The 24,676-nt window shown below is 49.0% G+C and overlaps 1 pseudogene, besides 1 other annotated feature; it reads right to left on the bottom strand.

Annotated features, from left to right (window-relative positions):
- LCN1P2 (lipocalin 1 pseudogene 2) lies at nucleotides 9,225-9,967 on the bottom strand (annotated as a pseudogene).
- Nucleotides 22,781-23,469: an enhancer, noted in NCBI's record as "H3K27ac-H3K4me1 hESC enhancer chr9:136179717-136180405 (GRCh37/hg19 assembly coordinates)". NCBI's record gives its function as "activates a minimal SCP1, AML or CMV promoter by ChIP-STARR-seq in naive H9 embryonic stem cells {active_cell/tissue: H9 hESC(naive)}" and the evidence as "EXISTENCE:reporter gene assay evidence [ECO:0000049][PMID:30033119]".

Genomic DNA, 24,676 nt, shown 5'->3' with positions numbered 1-24,676 from the left:
GTCATGCATTTGTAAGGTCTAAAAAGTTCAGTCTGCTTTTGTGATACCTGACGAATTTTCATATGTTGTGTTTTCATTCAGTTCAAAATACTTGCTAATTTCCCTTTGATTTATTCTTTGGCTAATGAGTTATTTAAAGGTATGTCATTTAGTTTCCAAATATTTGGGAATTTACCAGAGATCTTTCTGTTACTGATTTCTAGTTGAATTTCATTGTGGTCAGAGAACATACTTTGTATAACTTGAGTCCTTGGCTGGGGCGTGGTGGCTCACACCTGTAATCCCGATACTGGGAGGCTGAGGCAGGAGGATCATTTGAGCCCAGGAGATTGAGGTCAGCCTGGGCAATGCAGCGAGACCCTGTCTCTACAAAAAAATTTAAAAAATCACCCTGGGGCGGTTGCCCACGCCTATGCCTATAGTCCCAGCTACTCAGAAAGCTGAGGTGGGAGGATCACTTGAGCCCAGGAGGTTGAGGCTGCAGTGAGCCATGTTCCTGCCACTGCACTCCAGCCTGGGCAACAGAGTGAGACCGTGTATCAAAAAACAACAAAAAACCACTTGAATCTTTTTGAAGTTAACAGGGTTTGTTTCATAGCCCAGACTGTGGTCTCTCCTGGTAAATGTTCTGTGTGTGCTCGAGAAGAATGTTTTCTGCTCTTGTTGAGTCAAGTGTTTTAATGTCAGGTCCAGTGGAGTTCAAGTTCTGTATCCTTGCCAATTTTCTTTTCTTTTTTCTTTCTTTCTTTCTTTTTTTTTTCTTGAGACAGAGTTTTGCTCTTGTTGCCCAGGCTGGAGTGCAATGGCGCGGTCTTGGCTCACTGCAACCTCTGTCTCCTGGGTTCAAGCAGTTCTCCTGTCAGCCTCCTGAGTAGCTGAGATTACAGGCATGCGCCACCATGCCCGGCTAATTTTGTATTTTTAATAGAGATGGGGTTTCTCCATGTTGGTCAGGCTGGTCTCGAACTCCCGACCTCAGGTGATCTGCCTTCCTCGGCCTCCCAAAGTGCTGGGATTACAGGCGTGAGCCACTGCACCTGGTGCCAATTTTCTATCTATTCATTCTGTCAATTATTGCACTTCATCAAAAATTAAAAATTAGGAAAACAGATAAAAAGGCTCACAGTGGGAGAAAATATTTGTAAAACATACAGTATAATAAAGGACTTGTGGCCGGGCGTGGTGCCTCACTCCTGTAATCCCAGCACTTTGGGAGGCCGAGGCAGGTGGATCACTTGAGCTCAGGAGTTCAAGACCAGCCCGACCAAGATGGTGAAATCCATCTCTACTAAAAATATAAAAATTAGCCGGGCGTGGTGGCAGGTGCCTGTAATCCCAGCTACTTGGGAGGCTGAGACAGGAGAATCACTTGAACCTGGGAAACGGAGGTTGCAGTGAGCCGAGCTGTCGCCACTGCACTCCAGCCTGGAAGACAGAGCAAGACTCCATCTCAAAAAATAGTAAATAAATAAATAAATAAAATGGCATAACCATTTTGAAGGTTCGTTTTTGCATAAAGATGTCCAGTGTTCCAGGACCAGTTGCTGAAAAGACTGTCTTCGTAGAATTGCCCTTGTACCTTCATCTGAAATCAATTGGCCATAAATCTGTGTAGGTCTATTTCTAAACTGTGTGTTCTGTTCCCCTGAACCTTTCGCCAGCGCCACACCGTCTTAATCACTGCAGCTCTATAGTAAGTGTTGAAATCGGGTAGCATGAGTCTTCCAACTTTGTTCTTTTTGAAATTGTTTTATTTCACATTTACTACATATAGTCATTACTTAATCTGCATTTGCTCTTAAAAAATGTAGCTCTTCTGGTTTTTAGGAAGGCTTGATTTTTTTTGGGTCTAGTTGCTACTTACTGTTCATACCCTTAAATAATATCTTTAGTCCCCTCAACCTTTAAAAGAGTTCTCATAGTTCCCTACTATGAAATAATTTGTAAACCTTTCCCCTCTCTCCCTTCTCTCTCTTTTCTACCACCCATGGTTTTTTTTGTTTTTTTTTTTGAGACAGGCCTCGCTCTGTCACCCAGGCTGGAGTGGAATGGCGCCATCTCAGCTCACTGCAACCTCTACCTCCCAGGTTCAGGCGATTCTCCTGCTCCAGCCTCCCTAGTAGCTGGGATTACAGATGCGCGCCACCAAGCCTGGCTAATTTTTGTATTTTTAGTAGAGATGGATTTCACCATGTTGGCCAGGCTGGTCTCGAACTCCTGACCTCAGGTGATCCACCTGCCTCGGCCTCCCAAAGTGCTGGGATTACAGGTGTGAGCCACCATGCCCGGCCCACCCATTTTTTGAATGAATACTATTATATTTCTTAGTATTTGCCTCTGTCCTCTTTAATATGCTAAACTTCTCAGTTTGTCAGCATTAAGTGATGTCTTTAGAATCCAACTATAATATGAAGGAATCAGCAGGGCGATTCTATTTTCCATCCTCTCTCTGCTTTCTTGTCTCATACTGTTATAGCTGCCTTTGTAAAATTGTTTTTTTACACATTCTGTTACCTTTGTGTATGAGTTTGCTAGGGCTGCCATTAACAAAGCACCGCAGAGCAGCTTAGGTGAGAGGAATTCATTGTTCACAGCTCTGGAGGGCAGGGGTCCAGTCCAGACATCAGCAGGGTTGGTTTCTTCTGAGGACCCTGAGTGAAGGCTGTTCCTGGGTGCTGTCCTTGGCCTGCAAACAGCATCCTCTCATCTTCCCCCTGTGCCTGTCTGTGGGTCCTGATTGCCTCTTCTTATAATAAGGACACCAGTCACATTGGATTAGAGCCCACCTTAGTGACCTCATCTTAACTAATAACATTTGCAGTGACACCATTTCCAAACAAGGTCACGTTCTGTGGTGCTTGGGGTTAAGACATCAGTGTGTGGATTTGGCAGGGAACACACCGTACGTACCCATCACAACTTGCTGCTGTTTTTATCTCGGTCCCTGTCCTCTAGTTGAATATGTGAGTGCTCACTCCCTGTTCCTCTTACTATCTGTGATCATCTCTCAGTTAACTAAAATTCACTCTAGTACAGCGGTACTTTTGACCAACATTTTTTGCCCCAGTGACTGGTTTCTTGGAAGACAATTTTTCCATGGACAGTAGGGGTGGTGGGAGGGATGGTTTGGGGATGAAACTGTGCCACTTCAGATCATCAGGCATTAGATTTTCATTAGGAGTGAGCAACCTAGATCCCTCGCATGCGCAGTTCACAGTAGGGTTTGCACTTCTATGAAGATCTAATGCCACCGCTGATCTGACAGGAGGCAAAGCTCAGCAGTAATGCTCCGCCTCAATTCGTTTGTTTTAGCAAAGTTGTCTGGACTTCTACCTTGGAGTCTGTCCTGTCTTGGCTCTGCCCTGCCAGCCAAGGACCTGCCTGCTGCTGCCTCCCCACCGCTGCTTCCCCTGCTGCTGCCTCCCCCGCCACCGCCTCTCCTGCCTGCTTGCTCTGCTGCTGTTGTGCCTCTTCACGTCCCTGTTTCTTCCTGGCTGCACTTTCCACAGCATCTCTAGACTTGTGTCTGTGGCCTTTGCTTCCAGTCCTTCCTAAGTTCCACCAGCACCTGTCCACCTGTTCTTCCTGGGGCCGCAGAGTTCCCCATGGCCATTTCCGCTGCAGCCACTCCCCTGGCCACTTCCCCAGCTGCATCATGGGGCTGCCCGCTGGCTTGCCACTTTCACTTGGCTTTGTGGCAGTGGTTTTCTCTGTGTTTTCTTCATCTGCAGGGAAGTCTTGCTGTTCCCTTTTTGTTTGTTTGTTTTTGAGACAGGGTCTTGCTTTGTTGCCTGGGCTGGAGTGCAGTGACATAGTCACAACTCACTGCAGTCTTGACCTCCTGGGCTTAAGCGATCCTCCCGCCTCAGCCTCCCAAAGTGCTGGGATTCAGGAGTGAGCACTGCACTGGCCACCCGCTCCTTTTAGGTTTCTTTTTTCCCTCTGGTATCTTTGGGTGGATATTGATACTCATATTTGGATGAATTGGGTTTCCTGGATTGGGAGGGTGGGGCTGGCAGAGCCCAGAGTATAACTTTTCTGGTTTTGAGCCTGCCCCTCTCCTGACGTGCAGTAGCCTCTAGTATGGGCTGCCTCTGTGGCAGGGCAGGCTGAGTGCCGGAGCCCAGTAGGGCCAGGAGCGCCTCCACCACCATCCACAAGATCCCCTCTTATCTGGAAGTGGAGTGTCCACCCAGCACCCATGCCCCACTTCCGTGTGTGTTTCCGCAGCTCCACTCCCTGCTGGTGTTCAGCCCCTTCCCAGCAGTCCCATTCAGGCTAGGGCCTTCTCCTTCTGGGGTGTGACCCTGAGGGTTTCCTGTTCCCACCTCCTCCCGGCTTTCTCCACGCTCCCGCTGCCCCCCGACACCTGTTCACCCTCGGGACTCCATGCATAGTCTGCTTGTCTTTAAAATATAATAATTATTTTTTGGACACAGGGTCTCCCTGCGTTGCCCAGGCTGGAGTGCAGTGGCTCTTCACAGGTGCAATTATACTGCACTGCGGCCACAAACTCCTGGCCTCAAGCGATCCTCCCACCTCAGCCTCCCAAGTAGCTGAGACCACAAGTGCATGCTATTAAGCCTGGCTTAAAAAACAACGTATTTATTGAAAATTTGAGGTTCAGTAAGGCCACCAGATCAGGAGATAATTGCCATTGAAAGGATAGTTTACGACAGTTTCCAGGAGAAGGGGTACCCCAAGCCACACAGGGCCACACGGGGAAGTGCTGGAGTCGGTCAGGAGGCAGGAGAGGGCAGAACTGTGGGTGAAGCCCGTAATGTGGTTTCCATGGGAGGGGGTGGGCGAGGCGGTAGGGAGGCTTAGGCTTGGCTCATTTGAATGATTTCAGCGCGCTCTGGGGTGTAACACCTGCATGCTCAGTGAGCTCCTCGAGGAATCCCCCGTATCGCTGCAGTAATTCCCGTATACGCCTTGTGAGGGCTGCACACAGGCTGTAGTGGCCCTTCTGCAGCTCAGCGTGGATGGCTTCTCCAGGGTCAGCCAGAAGCAGTGGGGTCAGAGCGAAAACCAGGGCTTCCTGGCTGTGACGCATGTGCCTTCAGCCACTGAGCTGCCCTGCTTACCCCACAGGAATTGGGAAGACATCAGGGAGGGCTTACTGGGGAAGGTGAGCATCAACCTTGACCCTGAACGATGGGAAAATTAGGATGGCAGAAAAGGGCATTCAAGAAAGGAAGAATTGGCCAGGCACAGTGGCTCACGCCTGTAATCCCAACACTTGGGGAGGCCGAGGCGGGCGGATCACCTGAGGTCAGGAGTTCAAGACCAGCCTGGCTAACATGGTGAAACCCCATCTCTACTGAAAATACAAAAAATTAGCCAGGTGTGGTGGCAGGCGCCTAATCCCTGCTGCTTGGGAGACTGAGGCAGGAGAATCACTTGAACCAGGGAGGCGGAAGTTGCAGTGAGCTGAGATCCCACCATTGCACTCCAGCCTGGGCGACAGAGTGAAACTCCATCTCAAAAAAAAAAAAAAAAAAAAGATACAAAAATTAGCCAGATGCGGTGGCACATGCCTGTAGTTCCAGCTACTTGGGAGGCTGAGACAGGAGAATCGCTTGAACCAGGACGGGGAGGTTGCAGTGAGCCTAGATCATGCCACTGCACTCCAGCCTGGGTGACAGAGTGAGACTCCAACCCCCTCCCCCCGCAAAAAAGGAAGAATTATATATATGATTATTATATATTATATACATATTACATGTACTATATAGAGAGATGATACATAGATATAGATCTATAAACAGATGGGATCTTGCTATGTTGGTCTTGAACTCCTGGCCTCAAGCAATTCTCCTGTCTCGGCCTCCCAAAGTGCTGGGATTACCAGCGTGAGCCACTGCTCCTGGTCAAGAGAGGAAGAATTTTTTGTTTTCTCAAACAAAGGAAGGGAAGGTTCTGACACGTGGGAAGTTTCCCCAGGGACGGAGTCCCTGTAAGGACAACGGGGCCGCGCAGAGCCTGGACGCTCAGGCCAAGGACTGACATGTCCCCAGAGCAGAAGGGCTGTGTCTGAGTCCCCGGTGAGGGTCGTGAGGACAGAAGACTCAAGCCCAGCAATACAGGCTGGGGCAAAAACACAGACGGGGTGGTCAACTGCGGGACAGAGATCAGCAGGAACTGTGGCTGTGCTGGCAGGATCCACTAACTACATAAAGTCATCAGTAAACATGGACAGTACATTTTTTATTTTTTTGAAATGGACTCTTGTTCTGTCACCCAGAATGGAGTGCAGTGGTGCGATCTCAGCTCACTGCAACCTCTGTCTCCCAGGTGCAAGCGATGCTCCTGCCTCAGCCTCCTGAGTGGCTATTACAGGTGCACACCACCACACCCGGCTAATTTTTATATTTTTAGTAGAGATGGGGTTTCACCATGTTGGCCAGGCTGGTCTCGAACTCCTGACCTCAGGTGATCCGCCCGCCTCGGCCTCCCAAAGTGCTGGGATTATAGGCATGAGCCACCATGCCCGGCCCATGGGCAGTACATTTGTGGGCTGGTGGGAGAGGGCTTGTCTTGGGCCTGTGCAGCTCCTCAGTTTCTCAGTCACCATGATCCTTGGAAAAGAGAAGATTCCAGGAAAGAGTAGAGAGATGACCTGGTTCCCCAGTATCAGGAAGGCGGAAGTGGCAAAGGGAGCAGAGACATTCAACGGTTCACGGGCAGAGCCAGGCCATGGGGGAAGGACCTTCTAAGATAGCCAGAGGCTGTGAATCCACATACAGGGTAGTGACACACACGCTCGACTCAGACTTTTGGGTCCTGTCCATAGCTGTGAAAGGGTACACTCGGGGACCTGCTGCGAAGGTTTGTTGTGCAGTCTCATGAGATGACACCAGCAGTGTGGTGAGACTCCTGCCTGGGCCGTGGCAAGATCTTGATCATGTTTAGCTCCTTTTTCACGAAGAAAGCTCTGCAGCCTGGGCCTGCCATACCCAGGGCGGGGAGGGGGGTGACTGCTCTTCGCTGATGCTCCAGTGAAAGGGGGGCACCTGGGCCCGAGGCAGATGCAACGGAGTTCCCAGTGACCAGCAGCCGGAATGACCTCTCTGAGCACGTCTGCATTCAACAAACCTGGACCAGGCTCAGCACAGGCCAGGCGGGGCACTGCAGGCATATCTGTGGAATGAGAGAATGAAGCTCCCCAAACACCCAGGCCTGAAAGAGGAGCAACAAGAAAGGAGTGAAGGAGTGGGGAGGAGCAGCGAAGAAACTTCCTGAGCGCCTCCTCCTGGCAGGACCTCCCATCCATCGTCTCTGACCCTCACAGAGTTCTACAAGGGAGTCTTCTCACCAAGCAGGCACTCCACGGAGTTGGGGTTTCTGCCCGCATTATTCAGCAATGAGGCCGCAACCAGAATGGTGCCTGGCACTTAGTGGGCGTTCAGCAATTCTCTCTCTCTCTTTTTTTTTTTTAAGACAGAGTTTCGCTCTCGTTGCCCAGGCTGGAGTGCAATGGTGCTATCTTGGCTCACTGCAACCTCCACCTCCCAGGATCAAGTGATTCTCCTGCCTCAGCCTCCCGAGTAGCTGGGATTACAGGTGCCTGACACCACGCCCAGCTAACATTTTTGTATTTTTAGTAGAGACAGGGTTTCACCATGTTGGGCAGGCTGGTCTTGAACTCCTGACTTCAGGTGATCCACTGGTCTTGGCCTCCCAAAGTGCTGGGATTACAGGTGTGAGCCTCTGCGCCCAGCCAGCAAATGTCTCTTGAATGAATGAATGCCAGTGTGATCGATGCTGAAGCTGTGATGAGCAAGGATGTGACACGTCTGAGGTCACAGATGCTGGACTTTCACCCCGATCCCACTGCAGGGCCTCTGTCTGCCATGGATTTTTTTTTCTTTCTTTTCTTTTTGAGACAGAGTCTCACTCTGTCGCCCAGGCTGGAGTGCAGTGGCACAGTCTCGGCTCACTGCAACCTCCGCCTCCCAGGCTTAAGTGATTCTCCTGCCTCAGCCTCCTGAGTGGCTGGGACTACAGGTGCATGCCACGATGCCTGGATAATTTTTGTATTTTTGGTAGAGACAGGGTTTCACCATCTTGGTGAGGCTGGTCTTGAACTCCTGACCTAAAGTGATCTGCCCACCTCAGCCTCCCAAAGTGTTGGGATTACAGGCGTGAGCCACTGCGCCAGGCCCCTTTCCCTCTTACTGGTCTTCTTTTGAATTTAGTTTTTAAAACAATCTTTTCAGTTTATTTGTTGTCTTATTCACTGACAGTCTTTTGTTTTCTTGTTTGTTTGTTGACTTTAACAGGTGCTTTAGGGTTTATAGTATGTCTTTAATTTATCACAGTCTACCTTCATCTAGTATAAGAACCTTACAGCTGGGCTCAGTGGCTCACGCCTGTAATCCCAGCACTTTGGGAAGTCAAGGCGGGTGGATCATGAGGTCAGGAGTTCAAGACCAGCCTGGCCAACATGGCGAAACCCCATCTCTACTAAAGATACAAAAAATTAGCTGGGTGTGGTGGTGTGTGCCTGTAATCCCAGCTACTCGGGAGGCTGAAGCAGGAGAATCATGTGAACCACCAGGCAGGAGAACTGTGCACCACCACACCTGGCTAGTTTTTGTATTTTTAGTAGAGATGGGGTTTTGCCATGTTGGCCAGGCTGGTCTCAAACTCCTGACGTCAAGTGATCCACCTGCCTTGGCTTCCCAAAGTGCTGAGATTACAGATCTGAGCCATCACACCTGGCTATTATTTTTATTATTTTACACTTTCTTCCAGAATTACTCTGTATTTAATTAGCACAATAATGACAGCAGCTGGCATCATTGAGCGTTCTCTGTCAGGTGTATCTTGCTGAGCACTGCCCCTTTGCTCTCGACTTTCATCTGAGGGTGTTGACAAGGTCGGAGAGAATGGGGGGTGGTGGAGACGGAAACCTCTGCCCCAGCTCAGCAGAAGGCTTCAGCACGCAGATCACATTCCTCAGTCCTAGGAGGAGGTGGGTGGTACCCAGCACTGCCCCTGGTAGCTCACAGGGTCTGATCCGGGGCCTTTGCCCCCTCAGGGTCCCTCCAGCTGAGGTTCTTCAGTGGCACAGTTTGCCCTCAAGGCTGCCAGTTGCCGAGCCTTGTAGGAGGGGCTGAGAGAGGCCTCCCAGCAGGTCTGCCCACCTCCCCAGCACCAGAGCTCTCCTGGGTGGGGAAAGGGAAGGCCCTAGACCAGGTTGCAGGCTGGCCGGCCGGCTGGCAGACACTCACAGCATGGTGACCTTGGCTTCCAGGTTGCCCCCTTCCAGGGTCGTGAGGGTCATGGGTGTCACCGATTCCAGATTCATCTCAGGGAACTCCCTGTCCACCGTCATGGCCTTCAGATACCACGTCCCTGACACCTGGAGAAGGCCCCTCTCTATCAGGCTCAGGCCGACCGCTCCAGAGCCTCCCCCTTCCCTGGCCTGCAGCCCCCAGACTCTACCGCACCCCACAGGCTGGAGACGGGGAACATTCCCCAATCTAATCCACCCAGAAAACACCCAGCACCCTCGCCAGGTCCACCCGAAGGTGGCTCCAGCCCCCACAAGTTGGCCAGGACCACAGGAGCCCTCACCCCCAGGAGAGAAGTGAAGTCAGCCAGACCCCCACCTTCCCAGCTCTGCCCCTCTGCATCCCTGTCCCCCCAGCCCAGACTCCTGCTGTCCCATCTCACCATCTTTCAGGGCAGGGCTTTTACGCCCAACCCGAAAATGAGGGTCTCCTTGGATGGGGGAGGGATGTGGTCTCCATCCAGCAGTCTCAGCCTCGCCCCTTGCCCCCTCCAGCCCACCCTTCCCATCCAAGCCTCACATCCTGAATCTCCTCGTCTGAGGCCAGGAGGTGGTGGGCCTGCAGGGCAGCAATGAGGCCGAGGCTGACGGCCAGGAGCAGGGGCTTCATCTCCGGGATCTGAGTCCACGGCCGCCTGACGGTTTGCTTGCTGGGGCTGGGAGAGGGTGTGCCACTCCCACAGCCACCCTTTATACCGCTGGGCTCAGGATCCCCCGGGGACCTGGCACAGGTGACTGACCAATCCCTTCCTGGATGTAAACCACGGCCAGTTCTGCAATGGAGCAGGTAACGTGCCATTGTTGCTGGAGGCTGGTGAATAACAGCTTGTTAATTCCAGAGGATCATCCGGACAGGACCAGGTCCAGAGGAGCGGGTTTGCAGATTTCACCTGGGAGGAAACTGAAGGGAGTGAAGGGCGTGCAGGCCTCCTGGGGACATGTGCGGCAGTAACAGGCGCCCCCCAGCCATCCCACACGGGCTGACGTGCACACCGTCAAGGGGGTTTGGGGTTGGAGTCCGAGGGTCGTGGGCTTGGGGCTCGGCTGAGCTTCCTGCATCTCTGGGCAGGTTACTTGGCCTCAGATTCATCATGGAAAAAAAGGGACCCTCCTGTGTGAACACGATACCGTGTGCATTTAAGGACGGTGTCCACTGTCCTGAGCAAGGTGTGCAGTAAGGACCCTCTCTGCTCCACACACAGAGCAGCAATAGGTCAGACAGACAGAAGACCAAGACAGGTGTGTGTGTGTGTATGCAGGTGTGTACATATATACATGCACACACATGCACAAACACACACACACTCACATAAAACAAGGAATGGAGGAGAAGCACAGGCTGGTGATGGGGCAGAGGCAGGGGCCTGTCAGCTCCAAGTCCCAAGGCAGGCAGAGAGGGCCTAGATCCACCTCCTGGGAGTGATGGGTGTGTCTTCCCTGACTCCAGAAAGGAGGCTGAGAAACCCTCCTTGATACATCCCAGAGCTGTAACTTCGTATAACTTAGTGGAGCACTGTGGGCATAGGAAGGCAAGAGGACATCAACACAGCCTCAAGGGCAGAAGCTGAGACAAGCCGTCCTCGGAAAGGATGACTTTATCTGTGACATGCTCTGCATCACTGCAGAGCAGAAGCCTGGGACCCAGGATGGGAGCAGAGGCTACAAAACACTGCTAGACAGAGGACAATGACAACAAGATGGCAGAGAAAGGCAGAAATGCAGAGACACAATATCCTCACCTTGAAATAAGCAAGGCCAGTTTCCAAATTACCCAAGGAAACACCACACTAAGAAAGGCAGGCTAAAAATGAGCAATTGGTACAGGAACTTACACCAGACTTTTTTTTTAAAAAGTAGTATAAAATTAGAAGTGGCCAGAATATAAAGAAATAAGGAGAGAGAAAGTAGAAATAATTATAAATTTTGAAGATGAAGAGTAGAGTGAATAAAAAACACAATAGATAGGATAAATTCCAGACTTGACATAGTAGAAAAGAGACTTAGTGTCATGGAAGATAGTACTAACATAGTCAATGAAGAAAGAAAAATTCAAAAGAGAAACTGAGGTGTTACAAATAGATTCAGAGACTCCAGCCTGTATCTAGCAATAAAATGGAGTGGAGGAAACCAACCAGAGTGCAGCAGCTTTGAAAAACACAACACACACACACATACACACACACACACAATACACACACATGCACGCACACACACATATACACACACATGCATACACACACATACACACACATGCACACATATACAAATGCACACGTACACACACTCAAAGGTAACATATATGGAGAATAGATTGAGAGGCTCTGATATAAACAGAATAGGAGTTCCCAAAGAAAAACATTTTTTAAAAATTATTATTATACTTTAAGTTTTAGGGTACATGGGCACAATGTGCAGGTTAGTTACATATGTATACATGTGCCATGCTGGTGTGCAGCACCCACTAACTCGTCATCTAGCATTAGGTATATCTCCCAATGCTAACCCTCCCCCCTCCCCCCACCCCACGACAGTCCCCAGAGTGTGATGTTCCCCTTCCTGTGTCCATGTGTTCTCATTGTTCAATTCCCACCTATGAGTGAGAATATGCGGTGTTTGTTTTTTTGTTCTTGTGATAGTTTACTGGAATGATGATTTCCAATTTCATCCATGTCCCTACAAAGGACATGAACTCATCATTTTTTATGGCTGCATAGTATTCCATGGTGTATATGTGCCACATTTTCTTAATCCAGTCTATCATTGTTGGACATTTGGGTTGGTTCCAAGTCTTTGCTATTGTGAATAATGCCACAATAAACATACGTGTGCATGTGTCTTTATAGCAGCATGATTTATAGTCCTTTGGGTATATACCCAGTAATGGGATGGCTGGGTCAAATGATATTTCTAGTTCTAGATCCCTGAGGAATCGCCACACTAACTTCCCCAATGGTTGAACTAGTTTACAGTCCCACCAACAGTGTAAACGTGTTCCAATTTCTCCACATCCTCTCCAGCACCTGTTGTTTCCTGACTTTTTAATGATTGCCATTCTAACTGGTGTGAGATGGTATCTCATTGTGGTTTTGATTTGCATTTCTCTGATGGCCAGTGATGGTGAGCATTTTTTCATGTGTTTTTTGGCTGCATAGATGTCTTTTTTTGAGAAGTGTCTGTTCATATCCTTTGCAAACTTTTTGATGGGGTTGTTTGTTTTTTTCTTGTAAATTTGTTTGAGTTCATTGTAGATTCTGGATATTAGCCCTTTGTCAGATGAGTAGGTTGCGAAAATTTTCCCCCATTTTGTAGGTTGCCTGTTCACTCTGATGGTAGTTTCTTTTGCTGTGCAGAAGCTCTTTAGTTTAATTAGATCCCATTTGTCAATTTTGGCTTTGGTTGCCATTGCTTTTGGTGTTTTAGACATGAAGTCCTTGCCCATGCCTATGTCCTGAATGGTAATGCCTAGGTTTTCTTCTAGGGTTTTTATGGTTTTAGGTCTAATGTTTAAGTCTTTAATCCATCTTGAATTGATTTTTGTATAAGGTGTAAGGAAGGGATCCAGTTTCAGCTTTCTACATATGGCTAGCCAGTTTTCCCAGCACCATTTATTAAATAGGGAATCCTTTCCCCATTGCTTGTTTTTCTCAGGTTTGTCAAAGATCAGATAGTTGTAGATATGCTGCGTTATTTCTGAGGGCTCTGTTCTGTTCCATTGATCTATATCTCTGTTTTGGTACCAGTACCATGCTGTTTTGGTTACTGTAGCCTTGTAGTATAGTTTGAGGTCAGGTAGTGTGATGCCTCCAGCTTTGTTCTTTTGGCTTAGGATTGACTTGGCGATGCAGGCTCTATTTTGGTTCCATATGAACTTTAAAGTAGTTTTTTCCAATTCTGTGAAGAAAGTCATTGGTAGCTTGATGGGGATGGCATTGAATCTGTAAATTACCTTGGGCAGTATGGCCATTTTCATGATATTGATTCTTCCTACCCATGAGCATGGAATGTTCTTCCATTTGTTTGTATCCTCTTTTATTTCCTTGAGCAGTGGTTTGTAGTTCTCCTTGAAGAGGTCCTTCACATCCCTTGTAAGTTGGATTCCTAGGTATTTTATTCTCTTTGAAGCAATTGTGAATGGGAGTTCACTCATGATTTGGCTCTCTGTTTGTCTGTTGTTGGTGTTTAAGAATGCTTGTGATTTTTGTACATTGATTTTGTATCCTGAGACTTTGCCGAAGTTGCTTATCAGCTTAAGGAGATTTTGGGCTGAGACAATGGGGTTTTCTAGATATACAATCATGTCATCTGCAAACAGGGACAATTTGACTTCCTCTTTTCCTAATTGAATACCCTTTATTTCCCTCTCCTGCCTAATTGCCCTGGCCAGAACTTCCAACACTATGTTGAATAGGAGTGGTGAGAGAGGGCATCCCTGTCTTGTGCCAGTTTTCAAAGGGAATGCTTCCAGTTTTTGCCCATTCAGTATGATATTGGCTGTGGGTTCGTCATAGATAGCTCTTATTATTTTGAGATAAGTCCCATCAATACCTAATTTATTGAGAGTTTTTAGCATGAAGGGTTGTTGAATTTTGTCAAAGGCCTTTTCTGCATCTATTGAGATAATCATGTGGTTTTTGTCTTTGGTTCTGTTTATATGCTGGATTACATTTATTGATTTGCATATATTGAACCAGCCTTGCATCCCAGGGATGAAGCCCACTTGATCATGGTGGATAAGCTTTTTGATGTGCTGCTGGATTTGGTTTGCCAGTATTTTATTGAGGATTTTTGCATCAATGTTCATCAAGGATATTGGTCTAAAATTCTCTTTTTTGGTTGTGTCTCTGCCCGGCTTTGGTATCAGGATGATGCTGGCCTCATAAAATGAGTTAGGGAGGATTCCCTCTTTTTCTATTGATTGGAATAGTTTCAGAAGGAATGGTACCAGTTCCTCCTTGTACCTCTGGTAGAATTCGGCTGTGAATCCATCTGATCCTGGACTCTTTTTGGTTGGTAAGTTATTGATTATTGCCACAATTTCAGCTCCTGTTATTGGTCTATTCAGAGATTCAACTTCTTCCTGGTTTAGTCTTGGGAGAGTGTATGTGTCGAGGAATTTATCCGTTTCTTCTAGATTTTCTAGTTTATTTGCGTAGAGGTGTTTGTAGTATTCTCTGATGGTAGTTTGTATTTCTGTAGGATCGGTGGTGATATCCCCTTTATCATTTTTTATTGCGTCTATTTGATTCTTCTCGCTTTTTTTCTTTGTTAGTCTTGCTAGCGGTCTATCAATTTTGTTGATCCTTTCAAAAACCCAGCTCCTGGATTCGTTAATTTTTTGAAGGGTTTTTTGTGTCTCTATTTCCTTCAGTTCTGCTCTGATTTTAGTTATTTCTTGCCTTCTGCTAGCTTTTGAATGTGTTTGCTCTTGCTTTTCTAGTTCTTTTAATTGTGATGTTAGGGTGTCAATTTTGGATCTTTCCTGCTTTCTCTTGTGGGCATTTAGTGCTATAAATTTCCCTCTACACACTGCTTTGAATGCATCCCAGAGATTGTGGTATGTTGTGTCTTTGTTCTCATTGGTTTCAAAGAACATCTTTATTTCTGCCTTCATTTTGTTATGTACCCAGTAGTCATTCAGGAGCAGGTTGTTCAGTTTCCACGTAGTTGAGCAGTTTTGAGTGAGATTCTTAATCCTGAGTTCTAGTTTGATTGCACTGTGGTCTGAGAGATAGTTTGTTATAATTTCTGTTCTTTTACATTTGCTGAGGAGAGCTTTACTTCCAAGTATGTGGTCAATTTTGGAATAGGTGTGGTGTGGTGCTGAAAAAAATGTATATTCTGTTGATTTGGGGTGGAGAGTTCTGTAGCTATCTATTAGGTCCGCTTGGTGCAGAGCTGAGTTCAATTCCTGGGTATCCTTGTTGACTTTCTGTCTCGTTGATCTGTCTAATGTTGACAGTGGGATGTTAAAGTCTCCCATTATTAATGTGTGGGAGTCGAAGTCTCTTTGTAGGTCACTCAGGACTTGCTTTATGAATCTGGGTGCTCCTGTATTGGGTGCATATATATTTAGGATAGTTAGGTCTTCTTGTTGAATTGATCCCTTTACCGTTAAGTAATGGCCTTCTTTGTCTCTTTTGATCTTTGTTGGTTTAAAGTCTGTTTTATCAGAGACTAGGATTGCAACCCCTGCCTTTTTTTGTTTTCCATTTGCTTGGTAGATCTTCCTCCATCCTTTTATTTTGAGCCTATGTGTGTCTCTGCACGTGAGATGGGTTTCCTGAATACAGCACACTGATGGGTCTTGACTCTTTATCCAATTTGCCAGTCTGTGTCTTTTAATTGGAGCATTTAGTCCATTTACAATTTAAAGTTAATATTGTTATGTGTGAATTTGATCCTGTCATTATGATGTTAGCTGGTTATTTTGCTTGTTAGTTGATGCAGTTTCTTCCTAGTCTCGATGGTCTTTACATTTTGGCATGTTTTGCAGCGGCTGGTACCGGTTGTTCCTTTCCATGTTTAGCGCTTCCTTCAGGAGCTCTTTTAGGGCAGGCCTGGTGGTGACAAAATCTCTCAGCATTTGCTTGTCTGTGAAGTATTTTATTTCTCCTTCACTTATGAAGCTTAGTTTGGCTGGATATGAAATTCTGGATTGAAAATTCTTTTCTTTAAGAATGTTGAATATTGGCCCCCACTCTCTTCTGGCTTGTAGAGTTTCTGCCGAGAGATCTGCTGTTAGTCTGATGGGCCTCCTTTTGAGGGTAACCCGATCTTTCTCTCTGGCTGCCCTTAACATTTTTTCCTTCATTTCAACTTTGGTGAATCTGACAATTATGTGTCTTGGAGTTGCTCTTCTCGAGAAGTATCTTTGTGGCGTTCTCTGTATTTCATGAATCTGAATGTTGGCCTGCCTTGCTAGATTGGGGAAGTTCTCCTGGATAATATCCTGCAGAGTGTTTTCCAACTTGGTTCCATTCTCCCCGTCACTTTCAGGTACACCAGTCAGACGTAGATTTGGTCTTTTCACATAGTCCCATATTTCTTGGAGGCTTTGCTCGTTTCTTTTTATTCTTTTTTCTCTAAACTTCCCTTCTCGCTTCATTTCATTCATTTCATCTTCCATCACTGATACCCTTTCTTCCAGTTGATCGCATCGGCTCCTGAGGTTTCTGCATTCTTCACGTAGTTCTCGAGCCTTGGTTTTCAGCTCCATCAGCTCCTTTAAGCACTTCTCTGTATTGGTTATTCTAGTTATACATTCTTCTAAATTTTTTTCAAAGTTTTCAACTTCTTTGCCTTTGGTTTGAATTTCCTCCCGTAGCTCGGAGTAATTTGATCGTCTGAAGGCTTCTTCTCTCAGCTCGTCAAAGTCATTTTCTGTCCAGCTTTGTTCTGTTGCTGGTGAGGAACTGCTTCCTTTGGAGGAGGAGAGGCTCTCTGCTTTTTACAGTTTCCAGTTTTTCTGCTCTGTTTTTTCCCCATCTTTGTGGTTTTATCAACTTTTGGTCTTTGATGATGGTGACGTATAGATGGGGTTTTGGTGTGGATGTCCTTCCTGTTTGTTAGTTTTCCTTCTAACAGACAGGACCCTCAGCTGCAGGTCTGTTGGAGTACCCGGCCGTGTGAGGTGTCAGTCTGCCCCTGCTAGGGGGCGCCTCCCAGTTAGGCTGCTCGGGGGTCAGGGGTCAGGGACCCACCTGAGGAGGCAGTCTGCCCGTTCTCAGATCTCCAGCTGTGTACTGGGAGAACCACTGCTCTCTTCAAAGCTGTCAGACAGGGACATTTAAGTCTGCAGAGGTTACTGCTGTCTTTTTGTTTGTCTGTGCCCTGCCCCCAGAGGTGGAGCCTACAGAGGCAGGCAGGCCTCCTTGAGCTGTGGTGGGCTCCACCCAGTTCGAGCTTCCCGGCTGTTTTGTTTACCTAAGCAAGCCTGGGCAATGGCGGGCGCCCCTTCCCCAGCGTCGCTGCTGCCTTGCAGTTTGATCTCAGACTGCTGTGCTAGCAATCAGCGAGACTCCGTGGGCGTAGGACCCTCCGAGCCAGGTGGGGGATATAATCTCCTGGTGCGCCGTTTTTTAAGCCCGTCGGAAAAGCGCAGTATTCGGGTGGGAGTGACCCGATTTTCCAGGTGCCGTCTGTCACCACTTTCTTTCACTAGGAAAGGGAACTCTTGCGCTTCCCAGTGAGGCAATGCCTCGCCCTGCTTCACCTTGTGCACGGTGCGCGCACCCACTGACCTGCACCCACTGTCTGGCACTTCCTAGTGAGATGAACCCGGTACCTCAGATGGAAATGCAGAAATCACCCGTCTTCTGCGTCGCTCACGCTGGGAGCTATAGACTGGAGCTGTTCCTATTCGGTCATCTTGGCTCCTCCCCCCAGAAAAACATATTTAAATTGGCAACAAAGCAACATAATAGCTCAGAATTCTCTGGAATTGAAAAGACATGAGATCCCAGATCTAAATTACAAACCAAGAGAAATCCACTTCTAGAATATTACAGTGACATGCAGATCATCCAGGAGAGGAGAAAAAAGTCAAAACGACCAGAAAGAAGAGCCACAGTACCTACCAAAAATGCAGATGTCAGCTGACGGCAGACTTCTCAACAGCAACGCTACCTCCTGGGAGACAGTGGAGTGACGTCTTTAACAGACCTAGGGAAAATAACATTTACCTTTGAATGCTATTCTCAGCACAACTTTCATAAAATATTGAAGGCAAAATAAAGACATCTCAGACGTTAAAAAACAACGGACAGCCTCTACCACTCACTGGCTTCCATCAGAGGAAGTTTGAAAGGGAGAATTTTAGCACTTCTGTAGCAGACCGGGGGCGGGGGATCAATGTCAGCAAAGCAAACTACCTGCTGGCTGTACAAACACGATTGGTGCAGACTTTAATGGTGGGGGAGGAAGGTTCTGTTTTAGTGGATATTTAAAGAGTGCTAAATGCACACAAAACACATGTGCCCACATGCAGGTGTTCATAGGAACAAAAGATGCCCGTTAAGTGCAGGAGAATGATCTATGGTGAGAGGGAACTGGAACGGGGTGGGCAGGGATAATACATTTTCAAAACAAATAAAGGACCAGGTGCAATGGTGGCTCACACCCGCAATGCCTGCACTTTGGGAGGCCGAGGCAGGCAGATCACCTGAGGTCAGGAGTTCAAGGCCAGACTGGCCAACATGGCAAAACCCCGTCTCACCTAAAAATACAAAAATTAGCCAGGTCTGGTGGCGGGCACCTGTAATCCCAGCTACTCAGCAGGCTGAGGCAGGAGAATCGCTTGAACCTGGGAGGCGGAAGTTGCAGTGAGCCAAGATCACACCATTGCACTCCAGCCTGTGTGACAGAGCAAGACTCCATCTCAAAAATAATAATAATAATAAATAAACAAATAAGCCTGTTAGATGAAAGCATGATTTATTTTTCATCAGTATAGATGAAAGGGGGCCAACATGAAAACAATTAAAAGCACAATCACAAGAAGACGAATGTTCATGAATTTGAAGGCATACTGCATCAAAATGCAGGAAGCCAAAAGAGACTGAAGAACAAAGGGGTCAAATCCACAGTCAGAATGGAAGATGCCAGAACTTCTCCGTTAGAAGCAGAGAGCAAGAGGGTTTTTCTTTTGTTTTTTTTTTTTTTTTTTTTGAGTTGGAGTTTCACTCTTGTTGCCCAGGCTGGAGTGCAATGGCGCGATCTCAGCTCACCACAACCTCCACCTCCCAGGTTCAAGCAATTCTCCTGCCTCAGCCTCCTGAGTAGTTGGGATTACAGGTGCATGCCACCACGCCTGGCTAATTTTTGTATTTTTAGTAGAGACAGGGTTTCACCATGTTGGTCAGGCTGGTCTCGATCTCCTGATCTTGTGATCCGCCCACCTCAGCCTCCCAAAGTGGTGGGATTACAGGCATGAGCCACTGAGCCCGGCCAAGAATTTTAAAAGTTCACACCAACGTTGAAGATTTGGAACCAAAATTGTAAAGTGTACAAAGACACTGCTCCAACAGCTAAACAATTATATTGTTATAATTGTTACAATGAACAATTAAGAATTAAGTACACATAGAATATTTAAAGTACCCATAGAGTGGTTTAAAGAATAGGCCACATACCAGGCAATATGGGGAATTTCACAGAACCCACACAGTGGAGCCTGCCTTTTTTAGCTACAAGGCAATAAAACTAGAATCAACAATGAACAGAGTGTTACATAAAAAGAAATATAAACTTCAAGTCTACAGCATTAGATGCATCTATTACTATACAATACAAAAGTAAGTTAGTCCGGGTGTGGTAGCTCATGCCTGTAATCCCAGCACTATGGGAGGCCGAGGTGAGCAGATCATGAGGTCAGGAGTTTGAGACCAGCCTGGTCAGCATGGTGAAACCCGTCTCTACTAAAAATACAAAAATTAGCTGGGCGAGGTGGCGGGCGCCTATAATCTCAGCTACTCAGGAGGCTGAGGCAGGAGAATCACTTGAACCTGGGAGGCAGAGGTTGCAGTGAGCCGAGATCATGCCATTGCACTCCAGCCTGGACAACAAGAGCAAAACTCTGTCACACACATACACACACACACACACAAACACACACACACACAAAGTAGACATTCAAATAAAAAAGCAATAACACATATCCTAAAGAAATTTGAAGACAGAAATAATAAAGAAGAGAAATCTGTGGACCAGAAAATAAAGAAAAACTGGAGATAACCCACAAACGCAAAACTGGCTCTTAGAGGAAACTACAATAAAATGGGTAGACGTCTGGCAAGACTGATGAAGAAAACAATGAGAAAAGCAGCAATTCAACGTCATTAGGAAAGGCGAGGTGACAGACACTGCAGATGGAGGCCAAAGAGAAGCTCACGTGCCTCAGGGAAGCGCAGCAGGGGCACACGGCCGGCGGAGCTCGGCATCCTTTGCCACTGTCGTTAAGCCTGCGGTGTTGTCACGAGGCTGCATGGATGGATCACCAGAACAGGAGAGAGTCCAGAAACAGACCGGAAATGGAATCGGAAAATAAGGGGCATAGCAAAAACATTGGAGGGGAAAATATTGAATAAATGAAGCTTTTATCCGTACGAAAAGGACATATCCATTTATTTTCCTACCTCACACGGCACACAGTTGATTCCGGACAGATTAAAAGGATTCATATGAAAAGCAAAACTTTAAAAATATGTAGTAGAAACGATGAGACAATCCCTTTGTGACCTAGAGGCAAGTTCAAAAGCTGCTGAAGAGTCACGTCATGTCTTTAACAGAGGCAGGAGGCAAGCCAGACGGGAGGGAAAGCCCTGCCATGTGTCCATCTGCACGGTTTCAGCATGCAGAGTGCACGAGGAACTCCTGCCAATGATGTAGACACAGACAACTGCAGGGAAGAGAAGGCAGAGGATGCGAAAAGGCAGTTGGGGGAAGAGGCGAACCGGATGCTGCAAGGACAGAAAGAGAAGCTGAGTAAGGAGAGGACAATCTCAGGGCCTGAGGCTGAGCGCATTCCTCACTCTGACAGTAACGTGGGTAGGATGAGGTGCATCAGGAAGTACCCATGGGTGCTGGCGTTGGAGAGCAATGGCCCAGCTGGCGAAGCTGGAGACAATGTGCCCTGGGACTCCACAGTTCCGCTGCCTCCCGCGGACCCTAAGATGCCCCTGTGTGGTCCTTGCCATGAGCAAGCCGGGAGCTCCCCTGGGCATGAGTTTGTGAAATCTGCCACAGCTGTCTCTTTCCGCGGCACTGGGGGGCCCCGGGCTGGTTCAGGTGCAGCAGGGCCTGTTGAAGCTGCCAGTCACTCTAGCTTAGAAGCTCCTGCCTTCCGCGGTAGTCTTCATTTTCAGGAATATTCTCTCATTCCCTGTGCCAGTGCAGCTGGTGTCATGACCCAAGGATGCTGGACTGCACATCACAGCGGGACATGAAGGGAAGTCAGCGAGTCTGGAAGGAGAGGCAGGTTTTGTCCTGGGGGGAAGCCGGAAGTGAGTCACAGTCAGCTCTTCCGAGCCTCCAGTGTGCACGCCTGTAAGCTGGGATCGGTCCTCAGCGATGTCCATCAGTCCCTGATGTGCACGCCTGTAAGTGGGGATTCAGTCCTCACCGACGTCTATCAGGACAGAAGTCCTCTCTCTGTGAAAAGTTCTCGGTCGTGAACACGCACGAATGCCCCGGCCAGCTCTGCGCTCCTTTGTCAGGTCAGAAGTCCTCTCTCTGTGTGAAAAGTTCTCGGTCATGAACATGTACGAATGCCCCCGGCCAGCTCTGCGCTCCTTCATCAGGACAGAAGTCCTCTCTCTCTCTGTGAAAAGTTCTCGGTCGTGAACACGCACGAATGCCCCGGCCAGCTCTGCGCCCCTTCGTCAGGACAGAAGTCCTCTCTCTCTCTGTGAAAAGTTCTTGGTCATGAACACGCACGAATGCCCGGCCAGCTCTGCGCTCCTTTGGTGGTCACCTCGCAAAGGAGAATTGATCGGAGCTGCTGCTTACGGGGTGACGCCCGTGGCAGCATCACCACACACACATCATGACGGCAGCCGCGTGTGTCATTCAGCCCCCAACCGATGATGAGAAACCAACCTGAACCTCACGTCAGCAGGAAGGCGGAGTTATCTTTCCATTCTATTTATGAAAAATTATTTTCATAGGAAGCAATAATCAAGGGGTAGCAGCCAAGAGATATAGAAGAAATAAGTTTGATAGAGGTGTGCCAGGGAGTAACTAATCAAATCTTGTTTTTTGCTTCCATTTGATGACGTTTAGTGCACCTATCAGCTTTTTCATGTGTGAGCTTTGTGTGTTTTTTTATCACTTCAAATATTTATTTTCATATCTAATTTGGATTCATAATTTTTTTTTTGAGACGGAGTCTTGCTCTGTCATCCAGGCTGGAGTGCAGTGGCACGATCTCGGCTCACTACAAGCTCCGCCTCCCGGGTTCACACCATTCTCCTGCCTCAGCCTCCTGAGTAGCTGGGACTGCAGGCACCCGCCACCATGCCCTGCTAATTTTTTTTTGGTTTGTATTTTTAGTAGAGACGGGGTTTCTCCGTGTTAGCCAGATGGTCTCAATCTCCTGACCTTGTGATCCGCCAGCCTCGGCCTCCCACAGTGCTGGGATTACAGGCGTGAGCCACCACGCCCGGCCTCCTTCTTGTTTTTTTTCTAACAGAGCATCTTACGTGGATGCAGTGACATAGATGCGTCACCCGCCTGCCACCGAAGGAAGGTGCAGGAAGGACACCCAAGGGCCTTGTGGTGTCTCTCCTGCGCCTTGCACTTCCCCGGGGCCGGGGCCAAAGCCAATGGCAAGGCCAGCCATGGCGGGCAGCAGCCCCTCTGCTGGACACGGCTCCTGCCCCAAGGCTCCAAACTCTGCCCCCCACTGAGCAACTGATTTCCTGAGTCCCCCTCCGAGGGCTCGGGGATTTGACCTTGAAGTTCCCGCCCACCTGAGTCTGTGTGTTTTAGGCCTGCGTGGCCTTCCCTGTCCATGCCCTGAGTCCACCTGGCCGCTGCCATCCTTCAAAACCCAGCCCAGTCCCACATCCTGGAGGAGGAAGGGGCCCTGCCCACCTGGCTTCTGGGGCATCTTGGGCCAGGGCAGCCACAGTGGTCCCTGCATGTCCCCGTCACAGATGGGTGCCTGTCCCGAAGGAGCCGTCAGCCTGACAGGCCTCGGCCCTCTCTGGCCACCGAGGCTCCCTCGCCCTTCCGGGCTGGGCTCAGCAGAGGCTTTTGGGGCTCAACTGGACTGAACCGAGTCACGGATGGTGGAAGTGAGGGGATCTGCCCCTGGCCATGGGGGCCCAGGGCGCTGCAGGGGGGCCCGGGGCGCATTCCTGGAGGGGCTGCTTCCCGGGAAAGGTCGCGCTGTGTTTGTGTTCCGGCTCTTTCCTCCGCCTGAGTTCCTCCGAGGCCCTGGCTCATCTGAATACAGGACCCTGTGTGCCACGGCATGCAGCATGTCACGGTGAATGTCACACAAACAGGAACGTGCCTGGAGGCCGCCTGGACCTGTCCTCCCGCCCATCAGCTGCCAAAGTAATGCTGTGCACACGGCCGTCCCCACCTGCTTCCCCACTCATGGAGCTCCTCACGGGCTCAACACCCCCTTCCAGAAGGCTGGTCCCGGGAGGGGAGTTGCCGGCATCTGGAAGCCTGGCCGGCCTCTGTAGTGCAGCCAACATGGGGTCCATGAGCCAGGGGGTGGAAGAGGCCCCGTGACGTGGGGAACACACTAAGCTCCTAGCCCAGCTCTTCTTCTTGGAGCACCAGATGCCCTCGCTCTGCCGCTGGGGAAGGGGTGAGCCGAGGGCTTGAGGCCAGCACAGAAACTGCCCCCCAAATCTTACTCCGGGATCGGCACTTTCCTGGAAGACCCCAGGAGTAAAGAGAAGGAAGAGCAGAGGGGAGGGAGGGAGTCCCAAGCCAGGTGCCACTGAGAGGGGCGGTGTAACTCTGTCCAGGTCGCCTCCTGGGAAACTGAGGCCCAGCTAGGCAGAATCAGGTCTCCTGGCCCCAGACACCACCTGCCACTCAGGCAGCTGCCCCATGGGAGGCTGGAGATGTCTGAGTTGGGGCCTTCAGACCAGGAGCCACATGGAGGGAGGCCACGTTCCTCTTCCTCCCACCTGCATACCTGCCCTCCTCTGTTGAGCTCCGGGAAGCCGTCTCTGGGGTGGGGGTGGATGCTAATGTTCTGTGCAGCTGTTTCGTTCTCTGAGTCGTTTTCGGTGAAAGGGCTCAGAGTTGCAGCTAAAGCCCGTACCAGCCTTGCACTCCCACGAGGGAGCTGTTACCCTCGTGCCCCCTTCATGGGAGAGGAAGGTGAGGCTGGAAATGGTGAGTAAGGGGCCGAGCTCGCTCAGAGGCTGGCACGACCCCAGGCTCACACCTGCCAGCAATGTTAAGAGGCACCGGGAGCTGGAAAGGGCTGAGGGTGCCACGCCGGGGGTGGACCGGGTCCGACCTGCCCCCTCCTCCGAGGCTCTCTCCTTCCCTACTGTAAGACAGAGTCTTGCTCTGTCACCCAGGCTGGAGTGCAATAGCGCCATCTTGGCTCACTGCAACCTCCCCCTCCCAGGTTCAAGAGATTCTCCTGTCTCAGCTTCCTGAGCTGCTGGGATTACAAGGTGCCCGCCACCAGGCCTGGCTAATTTTTGTATTTTTAGTAGAGACGGGGCTTCACCATGTTGGCCAGGCTGGTCTCGAACTCCTGACCTCAGGTGATCCACCCGCCTCAGCCTCCCAAAGTGTTGGGATTACAGGTATGAGCCACTGCAAAGCCGGGGCTGAAGTGGAAACTGCTGTCTTGTTATCACGGGAGTGAGGATGTGGCCTGTGTGCTGCCTAGAACTG

The sequence above is a fragment of the Homo sapiens genome, chromosome 9 (genome assembly GCF_000001405.40).
Source record: "Homo sapiens chromosome 9, GRCh38.p14 Primary Assembly".
Lineage (NCBI taxonomy): Eukaryota > Metazoa > Chordata > Mammalia > Primates > Hominidae > Homo > Homo sapiens.
The sequence above is the reverse complement of the archived record's forward strand: the minus strand, read 5'-3'. Positions and strand labels throughout refer to the sequence as shown.